Source organism: Homo sapiens, chromosome 4 (assembly GCF_000001405.40).
Source record: "Homo sapiens chromosome 4, GRCh38.p14 Primary Assembly".
Taxonomy (NCBI): Eukaryota; Metazoa; Chordata; class Mammalia; order Primates; family Hominidae; genus Homo; species Homo sapiens.
In genome coordinates, this window is record NC_000004.12 from 76,183,840 (window position 1) to 76,205,134 (window position 21,295).

The 21,295-nt window shown below is 42.3% G+C and overlaps 1 protein-coding gene across 4 annotated transcripts in view, besides 3 other annotated features; it reads right to left on the reverse strand.

The window, feature by feature from the left end:
- Nucleotides 1-21,295, reverse strand: part of SCARB2 (scavenger receptor class B member 2) — a 75,796-nt gene that overhangs the window by 25,103 nt on the left and 29,398 nt on the right. For 3 of the 4 annotated variants that reach the window (XM_047416429.1, NM_001204255.2, NM_005506.4), the window contains exon 2: nt 11,868-12,025. Coding sequence is in view for 2 of the 4 variants with exons in the window: in NM_001204255.2 (NP_001191184.1) it covers nt 11,868-12,025 (158 nt within the window). In the remaining 2 variants the exon portion in view is untranslated. Of the gene's footprint in view, nt 1-11,867; nt 12,026-12,118; nt 12,215-21,295 lie in introns of those variants that run through there. The other variant, XM_047416430.1, reaches the window with a different exon arrangement.
- Nucleotides 11,679-11,738: a silencer, noted in NCBI's record as "silent region_15486". NCBI's record gives its function as "represses an Ori minimal core promoter by ATAC-STARR-seq in GM12878 lymphoblastoid cells {active_cell/tissue: GM12878}" and the evidence as "EXISTENCE:reporter gene assay evidence [ECO:0000049][PMID:35858748]".
- Nucleotides 16,002-16,191: an enhancer, noted in NCBI's record as "active region_21627". NCBI's record gives its function as "activates an Ori minimal core promoter by ATAC-STARR-seq in GM12878 lymphoblastoid cells {active_cell/tissue: GM12878}" and the evidence as "EXISTENCE:reporter gene assay evidence [ECO:0000049][PMID:35858748]".
- Nucleotides 16,212-16,271: an enhancer, noted in NCBI's record as "active region_21628". NCBI's record gives its function as "activates an Ori minimal core promoter by ATAC-STARR-seq in GM12878 lymphoblastoid cells {active_cell/tissue: GM12878}" and the evidence as "EXISTENCE:reporter gene assay evidence [ECO:0000049][PMID:35858748]".

The following is a 21,295-nucleotide window of genomic DNA, read 5'->3' on the forward strand; positions in this document are numbered from 1 at the left end:
CAAAAAGACACTTATCACTTAAGCGATTCCAAGGATCTTAGGAGCTGTATGCCAGGAAATGGAGGAAGACTAAATATATATTTCATCATATCACATGTCTATATCCTATACTCTGTCAAGTGTATAGAAGGAAGCATACTTCCTATCACATATACACATATCACACATCATATCACACTAAGCACCAAGCTATGCCCACTAATCCTATAAATAGCTGACCCTTGCATAGCTCTTCAAAGAGTTTAACCCACATTATTTTATTTTATTTAATCCTTACAAGTATGTAGTACAAATACAGCATGTAGTATTGCCCCACTTCACAGCTGGGGACACAGAGCACAGGCAGAAGAGTGAGAACTTGATCCCAAGTCTTTCTCATTAGCACAAGGTGCTCCTCTCTCTGTATGAGACAACCTCTCCTAACAGGTACCTAAGAAACGCCTGTAGGATGAAACCAGCTAATGCCTCTAACAAATGCCTCTAACCAAAGCCAAATCTAATGATAAATTACATGCCCTTCCAGTTTACAAAGAATATATTTAAAAATTTGATAGACACTTCCGTGTTAAACCACTTACACAGCTTGAAGTTCAGTGTTTGCAGTGGACTTTTCATTTGTTAGACAACCATTCCGCTTTCTGCTGGTAATAGCCCTGATTTGCTTTCCTCTCTTGTATTGTACAGCTGTGTAAGACCATCAGTCAAGGTTGCTATGGGACCTGAGCTCAACCAATTCCTTTCCTCTGGCCTCTGAATCCTGAGCACAGTGCCTCAAGATAGAAAACACAGTAAAAGAACCAGGCGTGGTGACATGTACCTGTAGTGTCAGCTACTTGGGAGGCTAAGGTGGGAGGATGGCTTGAGCCCAGGAGTTTGACGTTACAGTGAGCTATGATCATGCCACTGCATTCCAGCATGAGCAACAGAGCAAGACTTTGTCTCTACCAAAAAAAAAAAAAATTTTAATTTAAAAACAAGAAAACTCAGTAAAAGACAGGATTCCTCCCAGTGGCAGACACATGATGTGATGATCAATACACTCTCGTGACCTGGATCTTTAAAGCTGCCCTGCATCCTGCTTTTGTCTTCCAAGCTGCTTTCCTTGATTCTGTTAACCTACTTTATAGCCTTCAAATAGATTCCCGTTTTACTTAAATTAGCCAGAGGTAGTTTATTTTGCTTATAACCAAAGACCCTTCACTTAGAAATCATTAACTCCACCTTTTTATAGATAAGGATATGTGGATTCAGGACCAATCGAAAGTGTCAGGGCCAGGTTTAGAATCCTGGTGACCTCACCTCTCATTCAGGGTATTCCTTGATTTTACACAGAGGTTAATTCACAGTAATTTATTGGAATATGGAGGAGGAGAGGAAATTTCAAAGCCAAACTTTTGTGTAAGCCAAGGCTGGTGCCTGCAGAGAGGGGCATATTGATCAGTTACTGTCCTACAAGATCAAAGAAGACCAAATGAACTTTCAGAAATACAAAGAAGAGTTTGAAAAAACAAAACAAAAACAACAACAAAAAACAAATCAAATTTTCAGCCTAGGCAATTAATCAAGGAACTATACTTAAAAGTGCCCGGCATGGTCCCTGGTATTTAGTAGATGCTAATGAATCTCAGACTATAGTATAACATTTGTGCATTACTATGACGGTCCTTGTCATTAAGACAAGGTTCAGTTATGCTCCATGAACTATTTAATCAGGCAGGAAAATTCATGGTTGGTTTTAGAAATAATTTTAGAAACAATAGACTGAGATAAGGAGTGGAAATCAAAAGGAATAATTTTAATTAGGTGGAAAATTAACATCGGTATATCTAATTCCTCAGAGGTGTTTGATAAATTGGATGCGTATAATACTATCATAGTATCGTTATCTTTCAGTCATATTGGTTCCTTCATTCACCTAATCCTCTGTTGAGAATTACTATTAAGAAGTGATTGGGCATACACTGGATACAAACTAGACTGAGATCTGGCTGGTAGGGTTAACATTCAACCCTGGTTTCATCTTACTCACTGCTTCTGTGCCTCAGTTTCCTCATCTGTAAAATGGAGGTAATAACGTACTCACCTTGTAGGGTTGTTGTGAGAATGAAATCCACATAAATCCAGTTACAACACTACCTGGCACACCTGCTGCTTAGGAGGGATTAGCTACTGATACCATGTGCAACGGCTTGTGCTAAGCTCTTGAGATGGTGTGACATTAAGTCCTGGTTCTGGTCCTCCAAGAATCCACAGTAGAGCATGGGAGACTGCCTTCAGAGGCCACCTCCTTCACAGTAAACGCACTGTGGGCATACAGAGGAGGGAGGGATGGCAACTGGAAGGGGACTCCTGCAAAAGACACTTTTGCTTGATTCTGGAAAGAGTGGGCTTCTGCAGGTGGGAGGGTGAAGGGGGTGTTCCAACAGAGGCAGCGGTGGGGCGAAGGTGGGCAGCAAGCATGAAAGCATTCCCATGTGGGGAGTGAGAAAGCTGTGGTCCTGGAGGAGGAGGACACGCTTTAAAAGACCATCACAGATCCAGGCGAGGCTGGGGTGATGAACACATCAACGTGAAAGGAGTACTGAAGTCCTAGGGTGACCACAGAGAAGAGGGAAAGCAAGGGGAGCCAGCCAAAGGCACAGGCTGAGGAGCCTCTACCCTTAACTTTGAGTACGCTGCCCGCTCAGGTAACTGAAGGCAGCAACCTGTAGATACAAAGCAGGATACTGAGAAGAAGTGGTAAGAGCAGGGTCGGGAGAAGACTCACCCGCTTGTTGACAGTGTGCAAGAAACAGTTTCACTCCTTAAGATGGAAATATCTCCCTGGTCTCCCTGTCCCCAGGCAGTGACCCATAGGCTCACGTAGGCAATTCACCTAATGTACCACGTGCATTTAAAACTCACACATACCTGGTCACAACCTTTTGTGCATGATAAGATGGTGTGAGAGATCTTTTTCTATTTTTTTTTACTTCTGAGCAGTTTAAGGATTTTTTTTTTCAAAATCTGTTTCTATTTTGGCAAAACAAATACAGTTTTAGCTACCAATCTAAAAACACTATCAGAGAAAAGCGAGGCAAGTTTAGAAAAAAGGAGAAAGCATTCTCCTATAATAATGGAAACAATGATCACGGTGTTCCTAAATTTTTTGTTGTCTCTTTATGTTAAAAAAATTTCTTATACAGCTTGGCTCAGACACGGTTAAAGAACTAAAGGGTTAATAGGACAGAATTAGACAGTATAAACAAAATTCCTGCCTTTGCTAAATTGCAAGGAAGACACTTAGATCCTGAAGAAATTAAATGTGGAAAAACAGAACTATAAGAAAATCGACTTGAACATCAAACCATTGAAGGGAGTAAGACTTTTAAAGCTCAGACCTGATAGAAATGTTGAAAAAGAATAGACTTGACTACAACACATTTTAAAAATTGACAAGGTAAACAATGGAAAAGCAGTTGCCCCAAATGAAACATAAAAGGTTCACAGAGTGCCATGAACACTCCAGAACCCAGATAAGCAAATGGACAAAGGACAAGAACTAAAAGTGTGGAAACACAACTGGCTGGCAAACATGAGGAGAACATTCAACCCACGAGGTAACCAGAGGAGAAAATGAAAACGGATCTACATGTTCAGGAAAGGAACAGTTAAGTGTAGTAATACATTTACTCTATTAAATATAATCATCATTAAAATTCATTTGTATGAAGACCAAAATATAACATTGAAAAATCCTATGCTATAACATTAGGTGAATAAAAAATATGTATATTTTGTATATGTACATGCATATGTACATAGTATGATAACCATCTAAAACTCATCCATGGAAAAATGGCCAAGAAGATATCCACTAAAATGTTAGTTAGCATTGGTTATTTTTGAGACAGTGAAGCCATGGATTAGTAGTTTTTGTTCAAAACTTTACTGCATTTTCAAGTTGATCTTTAGTGATTATATATATGGAACACATATATATGTGTAATTTTTATAATATAAAATATAGTCTACACTCTTAAAGATAATGCTGTATATATTATATATGTTGATTATATTTGAAAATCCAGTATTACTTGTTATCAATGAATAATAAAATAACTTAAGATCTAGCCCTTACATCTTTTTAAATAATACAAGCCTAAAATAGAAATGAATAATCCAAACAGCAAAACTAAGAAACCCCAAAATAAGATATTTCACGGGATACTGTAAATTTAGTAAATACTTCTTAGAAATACGCAAATTAATTGGAAGTGCCCTTAGACAAATTGTTTTCTTTTTTAATTCTTGAAATGTTAAATGGTAGGCAAAATAGAAAAAGGTATCTGACAAGATAAAAAATAAACCTCAAAAAGGCTGCAGAAGCCATGGGATACCACAACTTTGATACAAATTTTATACAAATATGTCCCTGAGCAAAAGGATCATGAGGCCAATGAGCCTTGTATTCACAGACCCATTCCAGGGCTGCTCAATCTGCAGCTTTACAAAAATGTAAATAATACACTTCATTCCTTAAACCAGACTGACTGGCTGTTATCAACATTTGGAATGCCCATCATCTTTTTCCAAAAACATTACTATTCTGAACTCCCCAGTATGTGAAAGGTTTGGGAAATGTGCCACTGTAAATCCTGTGTCAGATGAGTTAGGCCCTCCACAGTCTTGCTTGGCCCTTCCCCATCTCAGAGGTTTCCCACCACCACACCAATCTGTACTAACTGGCGAAAGGGGCTACATGCCCTCCCCTTCCTTTGCCCCAGGCCCCCTGGCATACAATTGATGGAGTCAGCTGACTCAGTTGGGAGAAAACACTGGAGCAGAAGCTTCTGGAATGTTCTGTCTTATCCAGCCTAAACAATAGCATCATAAAGCCACAAGTGACAGAAATCAAATCCAGTGAATGACCGCAAAAGGCACATGTAGAGACTAACAGGCCCCATAGAAGGTTTGGACAGCTCCCTAAAAAGCCATGTTTTTCTACAAATCCCAGATCTCACGACCCACTCAGCCCTGTAAGGAGCTCTTAGCAGCCTGCACTGCACATATGCATATTCCTAACAAAGCCATTCATTTTCAGGGCCTGATTCCCCTTTCTTGAACCTATATTTGGGTTTCCTGAACTAAGTCCTATGGTTCCGGCTATTAGGTGGGTGCAAAGTAACTGCGTTTTTTGTCATTACTTTTAAATACTTTTTAATAATTGTGTCCTATAGTGTTAGTTTTTCCATGTGTCCTATGAATTTAAACCACAGTTGAAGATGTTTAATTTACATATTCCACAAATATTCATTAAATAGTAGACAGTCAGAGACCAAAGGACTTGGTCACTGCACCCCATGGAGCTTCCAGTACATTGGGAAGAAAGACAGATACCTAAGCCAATTATTAAAATGCAATTAGTCACTGTCATAATGGATGCACATATTTATTAGTCTGTTCTCATGCTGCTAATAAGGACATACCTGAGACTGAGTCATTTATAAAGGAAAGAGGTTTAATTGACTCACAGCTCAGCATGGCTGGGGAGGCCTCAGGAAACTTACAGTCATGGCAGAAGGGGACACAAACACGTCCTTTTTCACGTGGCAGCAGCAAGGAGAAGTGCCCAGCAAAAGGGTTTTTGTTTGTCTGTTGTTGTTGTTGTTGTTGTTGTTTGAGACAAAGTCTTGCTCGGTCGCCCAGGCTGGCATTCGGTGGCGTGATCTCAGCTCACTGCAACCTCTGCCTCCGGGGTTCAAGTGATTCTCCTGCCTTAGCCGGTGTGTGCCACCACACCCAGCTAATTTTTTTTTCTTTTTGTATTTTTAGTAGAGACAGGGTTTCATTATGTTGGCCACATTGGTCTTAAACTCCTGACCTCAAGTGATCTGCCTACCTTGACTTCCCAAAGCACTGGGAATATAGGCATCAGCCACCACACCCAACCAAAAGGGTTTTTTAAAAAGTCCCTTATAAAACCATCAGATCTCGTGAGAACTAACTCAGTATCAAGAGAACAGCATGAGGGTAGCTGCCCCCGTGATTAAATTACCCCCCTGGGTCCCTCCCATGACATGTGGGGATTATGGAAACTACAATTCAAGCTGAGATTTGGCTGGTGGGGACACAACCAAACCACATCAACATACCACTTTACAAGTGCTATAAAGTGGTATACTTGACACTTTTTTTTTTTTTTTTGAGATGGGGGTCTTACCCTGTTACCCAGGCTGGAGTGCAGTGGTGCAATCTCAGCTCACTGCAACCTCCACCTCCCAGGTTCAAGCGATGCTCCCACCTCAGCCTCCCACGTAGCTGGGGCCACAGGCACATGCCACCACGCCTGGCTAATTTTTTGTATTTTTGTTAAAGACGGAGTTTTGCTATGTTGCCCAGCCTAGTCTCGAACTCCTAAGCTCAAGTGATCTGCCCACCTCAACCCCCCAAAATGCTGGGATTATAGGTGTGAGCCACCGTGCCCAGTCTACTTGACATTTTAAATAAGATGTAACAGGGAGAGTATCCGAAGTCAGGCAAGTCTCAGGAGGAGACAGCATTTGCACTAAGTAAGATGTGAAGGTCAAGAGAGGTAGCGCTGAGGAATTCATTCTTGACTGAAGCAACAGCATGAATACTGGCAAGGCAGTGTGTCTGGGGAGCTTATAAATCATGGGAGTGGCCAAGCATGGTGGCTCACGCCTGTAGTCCCAGCACTTTGGGAGGCCAAGGCGGGTGGATCACTTGAGACCAGGAGTTCGAGACCAGCCTGGTCAACATGGTGAAACCTTGTCTCTACTAAAAATACAAAAAATTAGCCAGGCGTGGTGGCCGTGCCTGTAATCCCAGCTACGGGGGAGGCTGAGGCAGAAGAATCACTTGAACCTGGGAGACAAAGGTTGCAGTGAGCCAAGATCGCGCCACTGCACTCCAGCCTGGGAGACAGAATGAGACTCTGTCTCAAAAACAAACAAACAAACAAACAAACAAACAAAAAATCATGGGAGTATGGTTGGAATTATGCTGTCTAATAGGGTAGCCACTAGACACATGTGGCTATTGCACATTCAAAATGTGGCTAGTCTGAAATGAAATGTTCTATAAGTGTAAAATGCACACAGGATTTCAAAGACAGTATAAAAAAAGATTGTAAAGTATCTCATTAATAATTCTAAATATTGCTAACATGTTGGAATGACACTATTTTGGATAGTTTGCAGAGTCTCCATCACATCTTAAGGAATTTCATTTAAAAATAACAACAACAACAAACAATGGGACACTTAGATACTGATCCTGGTTCAACTTCTAATTATTGCCAGTGGGAGAGCTTAAAATACAAACTTTCTCTACCCAGTACACAGTGTTTCATCAGGCATAGAACACATACAAAATGGCTTTTTAAAATGAGGACCCAAGTATTTTCTTAGATTTCTTCATATAGCAACAGGGTTCATCTTTATAATTCTACATATTGACTTGTACAGACTAAAACAATTAATCTACGAAGACCAATAATATAGTTTTGGTGTCCCCTCAAAATCTCATGTTGAAATATGATCCCCAATGTTGTAGGTGGGGCCTGGTAGGTGTTTGGGTCATGGGAAGGATTCCTCATGGCTTAGTGCTGTCCTCGAGATAGTGAGTTCTCACGAGATCTGGCTGTTGTAAAGTGTGGCACCTCTCCCCTCTCTTGCTCCTGCTCTGGCCATGTGACATGCCTGCTCCCCCTCTCTTACTTCCACCATGATTATAAGTTTCCTGAGGCCTCCCCAGAAGCCAAGCAGATGCCAGCATCATGCTTCCTGTAGAACCTGTGGAACTATAGGCCAATTAAACCTCTTTTTTAAGTAAATTACCCAGTCTCAGGTCTCTCCCTCTTTCTTTTCTTTCTTCTCTCTCTTTCTCTCTCTCTCCCCTCCCTCCCTCCCTCCCTCCCTGTCTTTCTTTCTTTCTTCTTTTTTTTTGAGACAGGGCCTTGCTCTGTCACCCAGGCTGGAGTATAGTGGCATGTTCTCGGCTCACTGCAACCTCTGCCTCCCAGGTTCAAGCAATTCTCCTGCCTTAGCCTCCTGACTAGCTGGGAATACAGGTGGGCACCACCATGCCAGGCTAATCTTTGTATGTTTAGTAGAGGTGGGGTTTTGCTGTGTTAGCCAGACTGGTCCCAAACTCCTGACCTCAAGTGATCCACCCACCTTGGCCTCCCAAAGTGCTAGGATTACAGGTATGAGCCACCATGCCCAGGAAGGTTATTTCTTTATAGCAATGTAAGAACAACCTAATTTAGAAAATTGGTACTGAGAGTCAAATATTGCTATAAAGATAGCTGGAAAATGTGGAAGCAGCTTTGAAACTGGGTAATGGGCAGAGAAGGGAAGAGTTTGGAGGGCTCAGAAGAAGACAAGAAGATGAGGGAAAGTTTGCAATGTCTTAAAGACTGATTAAATGATCGTGACCAAATTGCTGACAGTGACATGGACAGTGAAGTTCAGGCTGAAAAGGTCTCAGATGGAAATGAGGAACTTATTGGGACTGGAGCAAAGTTCACATGTGTTATGCCTTAGCAAAGATCTTGGCTGCATTGTGTTCACACCCCAGGGATCTGTGGAAGTTTGAACTTGAGAGTGATGATTTAGGATATCTGGCAGAGATTTCTAGGCAGCAAAGCATTCAAGATGTCGCCTGGCTGCTTCTAACAGCCTACACTCAGATGTGGGAGTAAAAAAATGACTTAAAGTTGGACCTTATTTTTAAAAGGGAAGCAGAACATAGAGGTTTGGAAAATTTGCAACCTGGCCATGTGGCAGAGAAAGAAAAGCATTTCCGCAGTCTGGGCAACATAGGGAGACTCTGTCTCAAAAAAAAAAAAAGTTAAAAATTAGCCAGGCATGGTGGCACTTGCCTGTAGTCCTAGATACTTGGGAGGCTGAGGCAGGGGGAACCCTTGAGCCCAGGAGGTCAAGGCTGCAGTGAGCCATGATCATGCCACCGCACTCTAGCCTGGCAACAGAGACCCTGTCTCAAAAACAAAACAAAACAAAATATTTTTGTGGGGAGATAAATTCAAGCAGGCTGTAGAGCAACCATTGCTAAAACGATTTGCATAACTAAAAAGAAGCCAAGTGCTGAGAGTCAAGACAATGGGTAAAAGGCCTTGAAAACATTTCAGAGATCTCTGAGACAGCCCCTTCCATCACAGGCCCTGAGACCTAAGAGGACTGAGTGGTTTCAGGGACCAGGCCAGGGGCACTACTTCCCTGTGCTGTTTCCCACATCCCAGCCACTCCAGCTCCAGACATGGCTCAAAGGGGCTCAGGTACAGTTCAGGCCACTCCTCTGGAGGGTGCAAGCCATAAGCTTTGGCAGCTTCCATGTGATGTTAAGCCTGCAGGAACACAGAGTGCAAGAGTGAAGGAAGCTTGGCATCCTCCACCTAGATTTCAGATGATGTATGAGAAAGCCTAAGTGCCCCAGCAGAAGCCTGCTCCAAGGGCAGAGCCCTCAAGAGAAACTCTACTAGGGCAGTGAGGAGGGGAAATGCGGAGCTGAAGGCTCCACAAAGAGTCCCCACTGAGGCACTGCCTAGTGGAGCTGTGGGAAGAAGGCCACCGTCCTTGAGACACCAGAATGGTAGAGCCACCATCAGCTTGCAATCTCAGCATAAAAAAGCTACTGAGGCGGAGCTGCCTAAGGCCTTGGGAGCCCACCCCTTGCACCAGTGTGCTCTGGATGTGAGACACGGAGTCAAAGAAGATGATTTTGGAGCTTTATGATTTAATAACTGCCCTGTTGGGTTTCAGACTTGCTTGGGGCCTGTAGCCCCTTTCTTATGGCCAATTTCTCCCTTCTCAAATGGGAATGTTTGCCCAATGCTGATACACCCATTGTATCTTGAAAGGAAATAACTTGTTTGATTTTACAGGCTTATAGGTAGAAGGAATTCATTTCTAGATGAGACCTGGGACTTAGGACTTTTGAGTTAATGCTGGAATGAGTTAAGACTTTGGGGGACTATTGAGAAGGGATGATTATATTTTAACATGTGAGAAGGACATGAAATTTGGAGGCCAGGGGTGGAATGATATAGTTTGGATGTCCCCTCCAAATCTCATGTTGAACTGTAATCTTCAGTGTTGGAGGTAGGGCCAGGTGGGAGCTGTTTGGGTCATAGGGGAGGATCCCTCAAGGTTTGGTGCTGTCCTCACAACAGTGGGTGACTTCTCACGAGATCTTGTTGTTGTAAAAGTGTGGCACCTCCTCACCCCTTGCTCCTGCTTTCACCATGTAACGTGCCTGCTCCTGCTTTGCCTTCTGCCATGAGTAAAAGCTCCTTGAGGCTTCCCCAGAAGCCGAGCAGAGCCAGTGTGCCATGTGTGTACAGCCTGCAGAACCATGAGCCAATTAAACCTCTTTTCTTTATAAATTACCCAGTCTCAGGTATTTCTTCATAGCAATGCAAAAATAGCCTAATCCAACTAATAGTAAGAGCAAACACTTAAGTATCACTAATTATGTGCTAGGCACTAGTCTAAGCACTTTATACATGACTCATTGACTCAATCTTTGTAAAAACCATGTGGAGGAGGTCCTATTTTTATCCCCATTTTATAGATAAGGAAATGGAAGCACAGAGAACTAGTAAGTTGCAGAGGCGGGAATCAAAATGGGTCATCTGACTCCAGAGTCAGAGCATGAGCACCCAAGGCAGGAACTAGGATTTTTATCTCTGAATTCCCACCACTGAGAATAGTACTGATTCATAGCACATGAATCAGTCAGCAATAATTTATTGAGCAATCGATTACAACAGAATTGTCAGGCATTTTTATCATTCAGCAGTTTTGAAAAAGAAAGATCTTGTTGTCTGCTTCCTCTATTAATTTGTTTTCTAACCTGGTAAGGAGAGACTTTATTGGAAAGATTATTGTATGGGAGAGGGAGGAGGTATTGTAATAGGGAAAAGGGGAACATTGCAACAGAGAAAATGCTCTGATTCAAGCGTCTCCCTCTACTAATCGTTTAAAAATGATTAAAGGGATCCTGATTCCCCAGTGTTTGGAATTGGTGGTCACCAGCAAAGACTCTAACAGCCTCTGCTACTTGCTTATTGCTTATACGCAGGATAGGTGGAGAAAAGGAGCGGGTAAGAAACAGAAAGATCTGTCTCAGACAAAAGTAAATTCTGGAACTGCTTTAAAACTAGTTATGTGGGGAATGGAAATGGAGGGAGGCCCTAAAAGTCACTTAAGAATATCAAGCAGTAGCCAGGCATGGTGGTGCTCACGCCTGTAATCCCAACACTGTGGGAGGCTGAGGCGGGAGAATCACCTGAGCCCAGGAGTTCAAGACCAGCCTGGGCAATATAGCAAGACCTCATCTCTACAAAAAAAATTATCTGGGTGTGGTGGTGAACACTTGCAATCCCAGCTACTAGGGAGGTTGAGGCAGGAGGATCACTTGAGCCCAGGAGTTGGAGGTGGCAGTGAGCTATGACTGCTCTACTGCACTCCAGCCTGGGCAACAAAGCCAGACCTTGTCTCTTAAAAAAATAAAATAAAATAAAATAAGAATATCAAGGGGCAACCTTAAAAGGGTCAGGGTAAGGAGTAACCCTTCATGGTTTAATAATCACAGTCTGCCAACTCAGGAGGAAACCGCTGCACTTCAAAACACAACACGCTGAGACTTGGCCCAGTCTACAAAGCCATTCTCTGCTGAGGTTTCACACACACATACAAAACATCAGCAGCGTTTCAGACAATGAAATCAGAAAGTGTGCTCCCACACAGCCCTGGAGCCTTGCTCCTGGGAAGAGGCAAGGACTCAGGCCATATTGGGGTCACTCTGTATTTCTTTCAAGACAGGAGGTGGTCAAGACTTACCTGTAGGTGTATGGCCCCACTTCTTCCACCCGAGGGGTCTCCCCTCTGAGGATCTCCTCTGGATTGGTGACATTGAAGAAATAGAACTGAGTATACACAGGCAGAGGGGGCTTCTCCCAGGAGTCAAATGCCTCAGTACCATTCCTTAACACAATTTTCTAGGAAAAAACCAAAAGGAGATTTACAAAAATGTAAGGCAATAGTTGGCTTTAAACCCAAGAAGCAGAGGAAGGGACGCCCCCTATTCTGACCTCCTAGATCACTATTTTAATCATTTCACAGGCATTCAACTGCAGTCTCCTGAGAACAGGGCCATATCTTACACCAATAGAGCCCACAGTTCTAATAAGTCAGAGAAGGCCTTCGATAAATATTTGTAAAGGGGCCGGGCCCAGTGGCCCAACACTCTGGGAGGCCAAGGCGGGCAGATCACTTGAGGTCAAGAGTTCGTGCTTGGTCAACATGGTGAAACCCCGTCTCTACTAAAAATACAAAAATCAGCCAGGTGTGGTGGTGCGTGCCTGTAATCCTGGCTAGTCGGGAGGCTGAGGCAGTAGACTTGCTTGAACCTGGGAGGTGGAGGTTGCAGTGAGCCAAGATCGTGCCACTGCACTCCAGCCTGGGTTACAGAGCAAGACTCTGTCTCAAAATAAATTAACTAGTTAATTAATTAATAATTGTAAAGGAAGGGTACTAAAGACAGCACTTGGGCAGAAGCATGAAGCATAGTGTTTCCAAAACCTAGGGCACAGATTGAGTGCCTAAAGGGCCTGCTGGCTTTGTTATTTTTGAAGATTCCATGGATGGTGTATCTTCTGTAGAAGTTAAGCAATTCTGAAAAGCACCATACACTCCCAGTTTGCCCAGATGAGAGAATAACAAGGGGAAGGGCCCAAGAAGGCCAGTTTTGGTCCTTTTTCAAGTCAAACCACATCCATCCCTACCGCCTCCACCACCAGGGGCTTTAAATGTATTTTCTTATTGGATCCCCAAAAACCCTAAAATGGAACTGCCTATCCCCGTTTCAAAAACCAGGAGGCCTAGCCTCACTGAGGTTAGCTGACAATGGAGACTGCACTCTGCACACAATCCCTCCTGCACTTTCCACCCCTGTTCTGTGTTACAGGATGAATAATGCCCCCCATACTCTAAATTCCTAAGCTGAAGTCCTAACCCCCAATACCTCACAATGTGCCTGTATTTGGAGTCGGGGTCTTTAAAGAGCTGATGAAGGTTAAATGAGGTCATGAGGGTAGGCCCTGCTAATAGGACCGGTGTCCTAACTGGAGGAGGAAACTGGGACACAGACAAGCACAGAGGGAAGGCCACGTGAAAACACGCAGAACTGACAGCCCTCTACAAGCCAAGAAGACAGGCCTCAGAAGAAACCAACTCTGCCAATACCTTGATCTCAGACTTCTAGCATCCAGAACTATGAGACAAATTTCTGTTGCTTAAGCCACCCAGTCTGTTGTATTCATTCGGGAAGCCCTAGCAAATTAATACACCATGACTCCCCTAAGGGTGAAGTATTCTCCCTGCCTCACTGACTTCAGGCTAGGCCAAGTGACTAGATTTGACCAACAGGATGTGGGTGGAATGGCAATGTATCAATTTGGAGCTAAGGCCTTAAGATGCATGGCAAGTTTCTATCTGCCACCTTGAAGTTGCCACCCTTGGAAAAGAGAAGAGCAGGCCACAGGTAGCTGCTGATCCTTCAGCCTAGGTTCTAAAACGGAGATGTGTAGACTAGTCCTAAAGCGGACCAGAAGCCTGGAGTCCAGCCTCGTTCCACTGAGCCAGCTGAGCTGGCTGCACACCCACATATTATTGTTATAAGCAACGAGACTGGGGAGTTACTTGTTACTCACCGTGGCAGTAGAGGCCTGATAAATACAGCGCCTGAGGTTAACAGAAACCTAACACCTGGTATTCCCAACAGTCCTCTATCTGTTAATGGAGAAAAGCCTTGTATTTTTACTGTAAAAACGGCTGAAATACAAAAATAATATAAAAGCACAGACTGCAAATAAACAAACCAAAATGTGAACTTTGAGTGTCGAGAATTTGTATCAGTTATAATTCAGGTCCGGATTAGGAGGAGTCTTCCACTCACTGTTGCTTTTGTTTGGATTTTTACACCAGAAATAAATTACTTCTGTAAGCAGAAAAAAAAATGTTCCCTTATCTTTTTTTTTAAGTGAAAATCTAAGAAACTCAGATTCTGTAGCATGTTATGGATAGACCCTAAGGCAAGGAGAAGGAATGGACACAAAGAGAACTCACTTCATCTTGGCTTTCCTCTGTTCTAGCAAAACAAAGGCGAGCCTGATGCTGCCTCAGCTGCGGTCTGCTCTGCTGCAAAGGCCCAGGAGCAGCCGCCCCCACTCTCGACTCCACCGCACTTCTCTTCCTATTACTGTCAGGACAGTTGAGTGAGCACTCTGTATTCCTGCCTAATTTTTCCTGACAAGCATCATAGTGTGTGAAGTTTCCAGTGAGAAAGGACTTGAGATCTCATTTATTTGTTCATGTGAAGAAAATCACCTCAGAATTAGGAACCCTGAAAGAATCAGCAAACATAAATGAACAGATGGCTAACCTCCCTGGTTTATCTTGCTGGGCTGGCATCCAGCTTTTAGGCAACCATAAATCCAAAGACAAGTGGAAGGGTTTCCAGAAAGAAGGGGTTACCAGAAAGAAGGGTAAACCTGGCTGTTCTGACATGCGTAAACAGTGTGACTTGAACTTGTTCCTCCAACTTTCAGGATAGAAATAAACATTTAGTACATTTGACTTCTTAATGAAACAAAGCAAATGAAAAACAAGAACAATAAAAACTGTCCTTGGCAGCATGCCAGAGTCATAACCAACCCAGACCATGTTACAGCTGGGGCTTCTCCTCTGTCTCCCTCCACCCCCACAGCCCTTCTCTGCCTGGCCACTTCTTAGTTGAGTCACCAGCACTCAGACAAATCCTCATAGCCCCTTTTACTCCCTTCAAATCTTGCCCTCAAGAGTGGTGGCTTTTCCTGCTGCTTTCATATGTCTCTTTTCCTCCACCTTACAAGTTGGATGTTTGTCAGGAAACCCTCTGTCAATCCCAGAGTAGATCACGTGCTGGAGAGTGAGTGAGTGTGTGTGTGTGTGTGTGTGTGTGTGTGTGTGCTCATGCGAATGCACTAAGTAGGAAGAGAGATGGGGAATGAGAGAACAGAGGGAAGTTGTAAATACAGCTGCTAACATTTCTAAAACAGTGTGTCTTTATTTTTATTTTCTCACTTTCAGCTCAGAGAATGGCAGTTACTATTCAGTTACCATTACTGCCACGCCAGCTGCAATCTACTGTGAGTCTGCTAAAGTCAGGTGCTATGCTAGGGGCTTTATAATGTACCTTATCTCTGAGTTTTACACTGACACTACAAAATAAAAATCCCCATTTTGCAGACAAAGAAATGGTGGCACTGGCTGTCCCAAGTCACAAAGCCAGTAAATGAAATCAAATCTGACCAAGTCCAGGAGTGCAGATTTACTCACCCATCCAGCAGCTGCCACCCCATGGCACCCTGAGGGTAGAGTTGCCAGATTTAGCAAATAAAACCTGGGATACCCAGTTAAATTTGTATTTCAGATAAACAACAAATAATTTTATAATATAATTATGTCCCAAATATTGCATGGGCTACATCAAAAATGTTTTTATTCATAGGAGATGCATGCTGAAGGATTTAGGAACAAAGTGTGTGATATCTACAACTTACTTCAAATAATTCAAGAAAAAGTGCATCAGAGAGATAAATATGGCAGGACATTAACAACTGATACATCGGACTGAACCGAAATATCACACGAGACAGACTCATACTAAAATGTTATTTGTTATCTGAAATTCAAATTTAACTGGTTGTCCTGTATTTTATTTTATTTGGCAACTCTAGCCCAGAGGGACAGTGAAACTATGGAGAAGCCATAAGTTGGACTCTGAACTCTCAGGGTTTCCTCGAGTGTTACCCGTGCCATCTGGAGGAAAGGAAACTAGGGCAGCTGCGTGAGGTCACTGTCAGCTCCTAGTAAGGAGCCCACAGGTGAGGAACCGAAAAAGGGAGAGTTCAACTCTAGAGTTTCCAGGCAGCCGCGCAGCCCCAGTATGCTAATGGGTCCAAAGAAAGCACCTCAACCTCCTGCCACAAGATGGCCCAGAGAGGGCTCTGTTTTGACTTAAACTTTTAATTTCTGCCCCTTCTATTTCTGATCCTCAGGGCATTCAAGTGTGCACTCCCAGGAGCTTGCTCGGCAAAGGAAGGCCTGAGAAACTAACAAATAATAACCTCAGCCTCAAGACCGCGGACTGTCTGGCACAGGAAGTTATTCATTCCGCCAGATACAACGAGCTAGTGTCCCCCTCAAAGGCGCCCTTTGCCAGTCTGAACAGAAAGCCATGGCTTGGGAACAACTGATCTTCCTCACCGAGGGTTCTGCTGTGGTGATGACAGCCACCAGACAAACCTTGTAATCAGCTGAGTCTTCTTAGTTACACTAAATGAAAAAGCAACATAAGGCCTTAAATCAGTTTTACAGTGTGACTCTGGATATTAAGAGTGGCACTGTGGAGTCACAATATAACTGTTGCTTATTAGTTTTAACCAAGACGAACATAATGAATTTTTCCACGCACAATACTGTGGCACTACCACTAAAACAAAATACTGGAAAATTATCAAGTTCTATGGTGAATTCACAGTGTCAACAGCTAAATTAATAATTGGACTAAAAAACATACTTTTCAGTTAATCACCCAATATGTACCTACTGAGAGCTTTCTATGTGCCCGGACTATGCCCTGCAAACAGGCATAGGCCCTGTCTGTAAGAAGAAATTTAGCTAAGGACACAAAACCAACATGCATGTAACAGGGAGTGAAAAATTATGTGCAAGACTCAGTAATTCAGCCTAACAAACAGCTTATGCCTGAAATTATTTAGATCCTTCCAGTAGCATGGATCTGTGATAAAATTCCCCCATCTAAACATCTCACAGGCTGCTCCAAGACAACATGACCAAAATGGACTCATGATTTTCTCCCCTAGTTGATCACTAAGTCCTGCTGATTTCACCTCCTCCTCTTCCCCATTTCTACCCCAAGGCACATTTCATCATTGGCTTGGACTGTGACAATACTGTATGTAGGCTCCTAACTGGTCTCCCTCTCTCCAGCCTTTTTCCTTTCAAATGCTTCATCCATCTCAGGCTTCAGAGAAGCCTGTCAAAAGTGCCTAAGGGAACAGATACTCCACCCCTGCTCAAAGGATAAAGTCCACAGTCCTTGACCTGTTGTGATCTGATGCAACTGCGTCACCTGTCGCTGTCTTTTCCTGGTAGGCACTTTATGCACCAGTAACACGCAACCATCTACTGTTACCTAGCACCCACCACACAAGTTCTCAGCCAGTGCCTTGGCCTGAGTCACTCACCGCCCTTCACCCAGAAGTCTCTGCAGGGCCCTTATCACCTGGTTCACTTCTACTTGGGCTTCAGGGCTCAATTCAGAAGTGCCATCTCTCAGAAGGCCCCTCTGAACTATGTGTTTTCTCTCTGCTTTCATGAAACTTCACAAGTTTTATAAGGAAAATGTGTTCATTAGTCTTTAGTGTCAGATTGGGTCTGATACTAAGAACTGTATCTTTTTCATGGATCCCCAGCACATAACATGGTTTCTGGCACAGAAGGGACACAATAAATAATTAATGAAGAAACAGATGATACCGCAGCGTAGAGCACAACGCTGTGCCAGGCATTCATCTTCTGCTGTTTACCCAGTTCTTCTTGGTAAAATCTTCAATGTGGCAAAATGCCGCATATTCTAAATAATATGTAAGAAAGGTGATCTGAATAAATAAAAAGTCTGAATTTCAGTACTGCAGAATCAAGAAGAGACAGTAACTTTCTTAGCTGCAAATATTATTTTTCAAGGAGACATTTTGGCCTCCTTTCATAAATGGTTAAGACTAGTTTGGAATTAGCAGGGTCTATTTTTATGCATAATTAATATGCCAAAGGCACACAAACATTAGTTCTAAGTCTGTTAGATCTGTCTTTAGCAATTTTGGTTTTAATGAATTTTTTATAACATCCTTTTTCATAGCAAGTATAGCATAGGATTTTCACAACCTTAAAACTGATGAAACTCTTTCATTCTTTCCACAAATATTAACTTAGCAATTCCTTTGTGCTAAGCCACTGTTCTAGGTATTGGAGATATAATGGTAGACAAGATCTCCTACCTTCTCATTTTATTGGTGAATTCTAAAAACTCCTTGATATAACAAGGAACAAACTAGACTTGTAAGCAATAAAACATCACATTTATCTAAGGGAAAAATACCTAGATATTATGATAAATTATCAATCTACAGAAATTTCTATATTCATATTAGAAGAGATGTTTAAAGTAGCAGATAACATTACTACAAATGTGCAGAAAAAGTCATGTGTTGCCTCCAATTTCTATTCACAAATGATGCTACTGATTGTTGTTACTTTATTTTTTATTTATTCAGTTACTTATTTATTTTTTGAGAGGGAGTCTCATTCTGTTGCCCAGGCTGGAGTGCAGTGGCATGACTCGGCTCACCACAACCTCCGCCTCCCGGGTTCAAGCGATTCTCCTGCCTCAGCCTCTCGAGTAGCTGGGATTACAGGCACACATGACCACACCTGGCTAATTTTGTATTTTTAGTAGAGAAAGGGCTTCACCATGTTAGTCAGGCTGATCTTGAACTCCTGATCTCAGGTGATCTGCCCACCTCAGCCTCCCAAAGTGTTGAGATTACAGGTGTGAGCCACCGTGCCCAGCCTGTTGTTACTTTAAATCAGGTAAATGCTACTCCATCCATTCCCTACCCATTCCATTATATTTGTCACAGAAAATTTGGACAATGAAGAAAGTAAAAGGAACAAAATTTAAATCCCCTGTAATCCACACTATCGCTGTTAACATATGGGTTTATTTCCCTCTGGTCTAGTCATATATATGTGTATTTTAAACAAAATTGAGATCATATGTATTGTATCATTTTTTGACTCATCTTTTATAAACGATTATCCTTGTTATTAAATAGGTTTTGAAACTGTTATTTTAATGTCTGTATACTAATCCACTGTATTAGTATATTTAAAAAAATATACTAAATCAGTTTATTTAATCATTCTTTTACTATAGGACATTTGTGTTGCTTTCATGCTGAAGTAAATGTTCTTGAATATATTTGTCCAAATTAGTGAATAATTTTGTTTTCTTTTTTTGAGACAGAGTCTTGCTTTTGTCACTCAGGCTGGAATGCAGTGGTGCAATCTTGGCTCACTGCAACTTTTGACTGTCATGCCTCAGCCACTGGAGTAGCTGGGATTACAGGTGCACACCACTACACCCAGCTACTTTTTGTATTTTTAGTAGAGATGGGGTTTAACCATGTGGGCCAGGCTGGTCTCTAACTCCTGGCCTCAAGTGATCCACCTACCTCGGCCTCCCAAAGTGCTGGGACTACAGGCATGAGGCACCACACCTGGCCCAAATCAGTGAATAATTTCTTAGAATAGACTCCTAGATTGGGATTATTGGGTCTAGAGACAAAAAGTTTTCATGAACTCATCAGCCTTTAAATATCAACAAGTTGCTCCAGAAAGCAGTGTATGAGCAACCATTTCAGCATATCCATCCCAATATTGGTGTTTAAGGTTTTCAGAAATCTTTGCTTCCTCAGTAGTGGCAAAATAGCATCTTCTTGTTTGAACTTGCATTTCTTGAATTACTGGAGAAGCATAACAGTTTTTACCATGTATGAAGTGAGACTGTTTTAAAACAAAAGTAAAAGAATCTTCAACCAGCATAAGCTTCCATTTGGGTACACAGAAGGCTGGTCAGAGACAGAACTGAGAACAACCTCTCTGAGCTGTGTGTAGTGAACATGGAGTCGCTGGCCAGGCTGACACCTGACCTGCAGATGAAGGAACAGATGCAGGCTGGATTAGCTTGACTGCTGAACACTGACATGACTTAATACAGCCACAACCCAAGTCAGCCTAACAGCAATCTTTTGGGAAGGCAACACCATGAGAGTGGTGAAACCAGCTGTCCTGATGTAAGCCACTTCCAAGTGATAAAAATAAGCACTCAGGGAATCCATTAGGCTTTCACGGGAATCAGTAATACCTTTAAGGAAAGTTTCGGGATTCGAGAGCACTACTGGTTGTTCTTTAAGGTCAGTAAAGTGCTACTTCATAATTAAACACAACTTAAGCATCCATGTTGCCATCTGCACAGTCTAAATTCATCCAGAGATAATGCAGACCAACTTGGAGAACTTGCCCTAATTGTGTATGGATGGTATATTGGCCTAATTGTATACTGGACTCCAGATTAATAAAACTCATCAAATGGCAAAACACCAATTGATTTGCTTTGTTTTTTAAAATTGCTCCCTGAAACGAAGCAAACCCAACCCAGACTCATGCAGTAATTTAAGTAATTTCCACTGTTTACATAAAAGAAAGAAACTGCCATTAACATTCTACTCTTATTCCCTGACCTTATTTTAACTCAGTAAAAATGTATTGGCATTCATTTATTTATGTCACTGTTGCTTAACTCATTTTCATTTTGCAACTGTCATAATTTTAACTAATGAGCTCTGATAGTTCAGATTCAAATGTAGCTCATGGGTGAACTGTACTTTGTTTATAAATTACATACAGGACAATATGGTGGAATGACAATCCCAAAAAACCTCCTGCTACAAAATACCCACTAACTTATTTTTGAAAGTTTCTAGGTGATTACAAATGTACAGCCAAGTTTGAGAACTGATGACCTAAAGGGAAAAAAAGCAGCTACCGATAGAAACTTAAACATAGAACCAGGTGAAAATTGGGAGCGGGAGGGGAATATATATATACATATATGGGGAGTGGGGAGGCGGGTGAGAAAGAGGAGTTTCAGATGTGAATAAATAAGAAATAAGGCCACGGAAACAAGGCCCACATTCTGTGTGTAACTTGCACAGCCAGTCTCATTATTTTGCAACCTGTTTGGTTGTGATTATATCTCTCAAAATTGAAATAAGTAATATTTTCATTACCTACCTATTTCTATGTCTCCTCTTCCACTACTGTTGATTATCAGAAGTACAGTGTTAAAAGAAAATATCCTTAAAATGGGAATTGTGGGCGCTGGGAGGACTGGTGAGATGTTAGTCAAAGGACACAAAATTTCAGTTTGATATAAACAAATTCAAGAGATCTAATGTACATCATGGTGATCACAGTGGATAACAATATATTGGGCCAGGCACAGTGGCTCACGCCTGTAATCCCAGCACTTTAGGAGGCAAAGGTGGGAGGATTGCTTAAGCTCAGGAATTTGAGACCAGCCT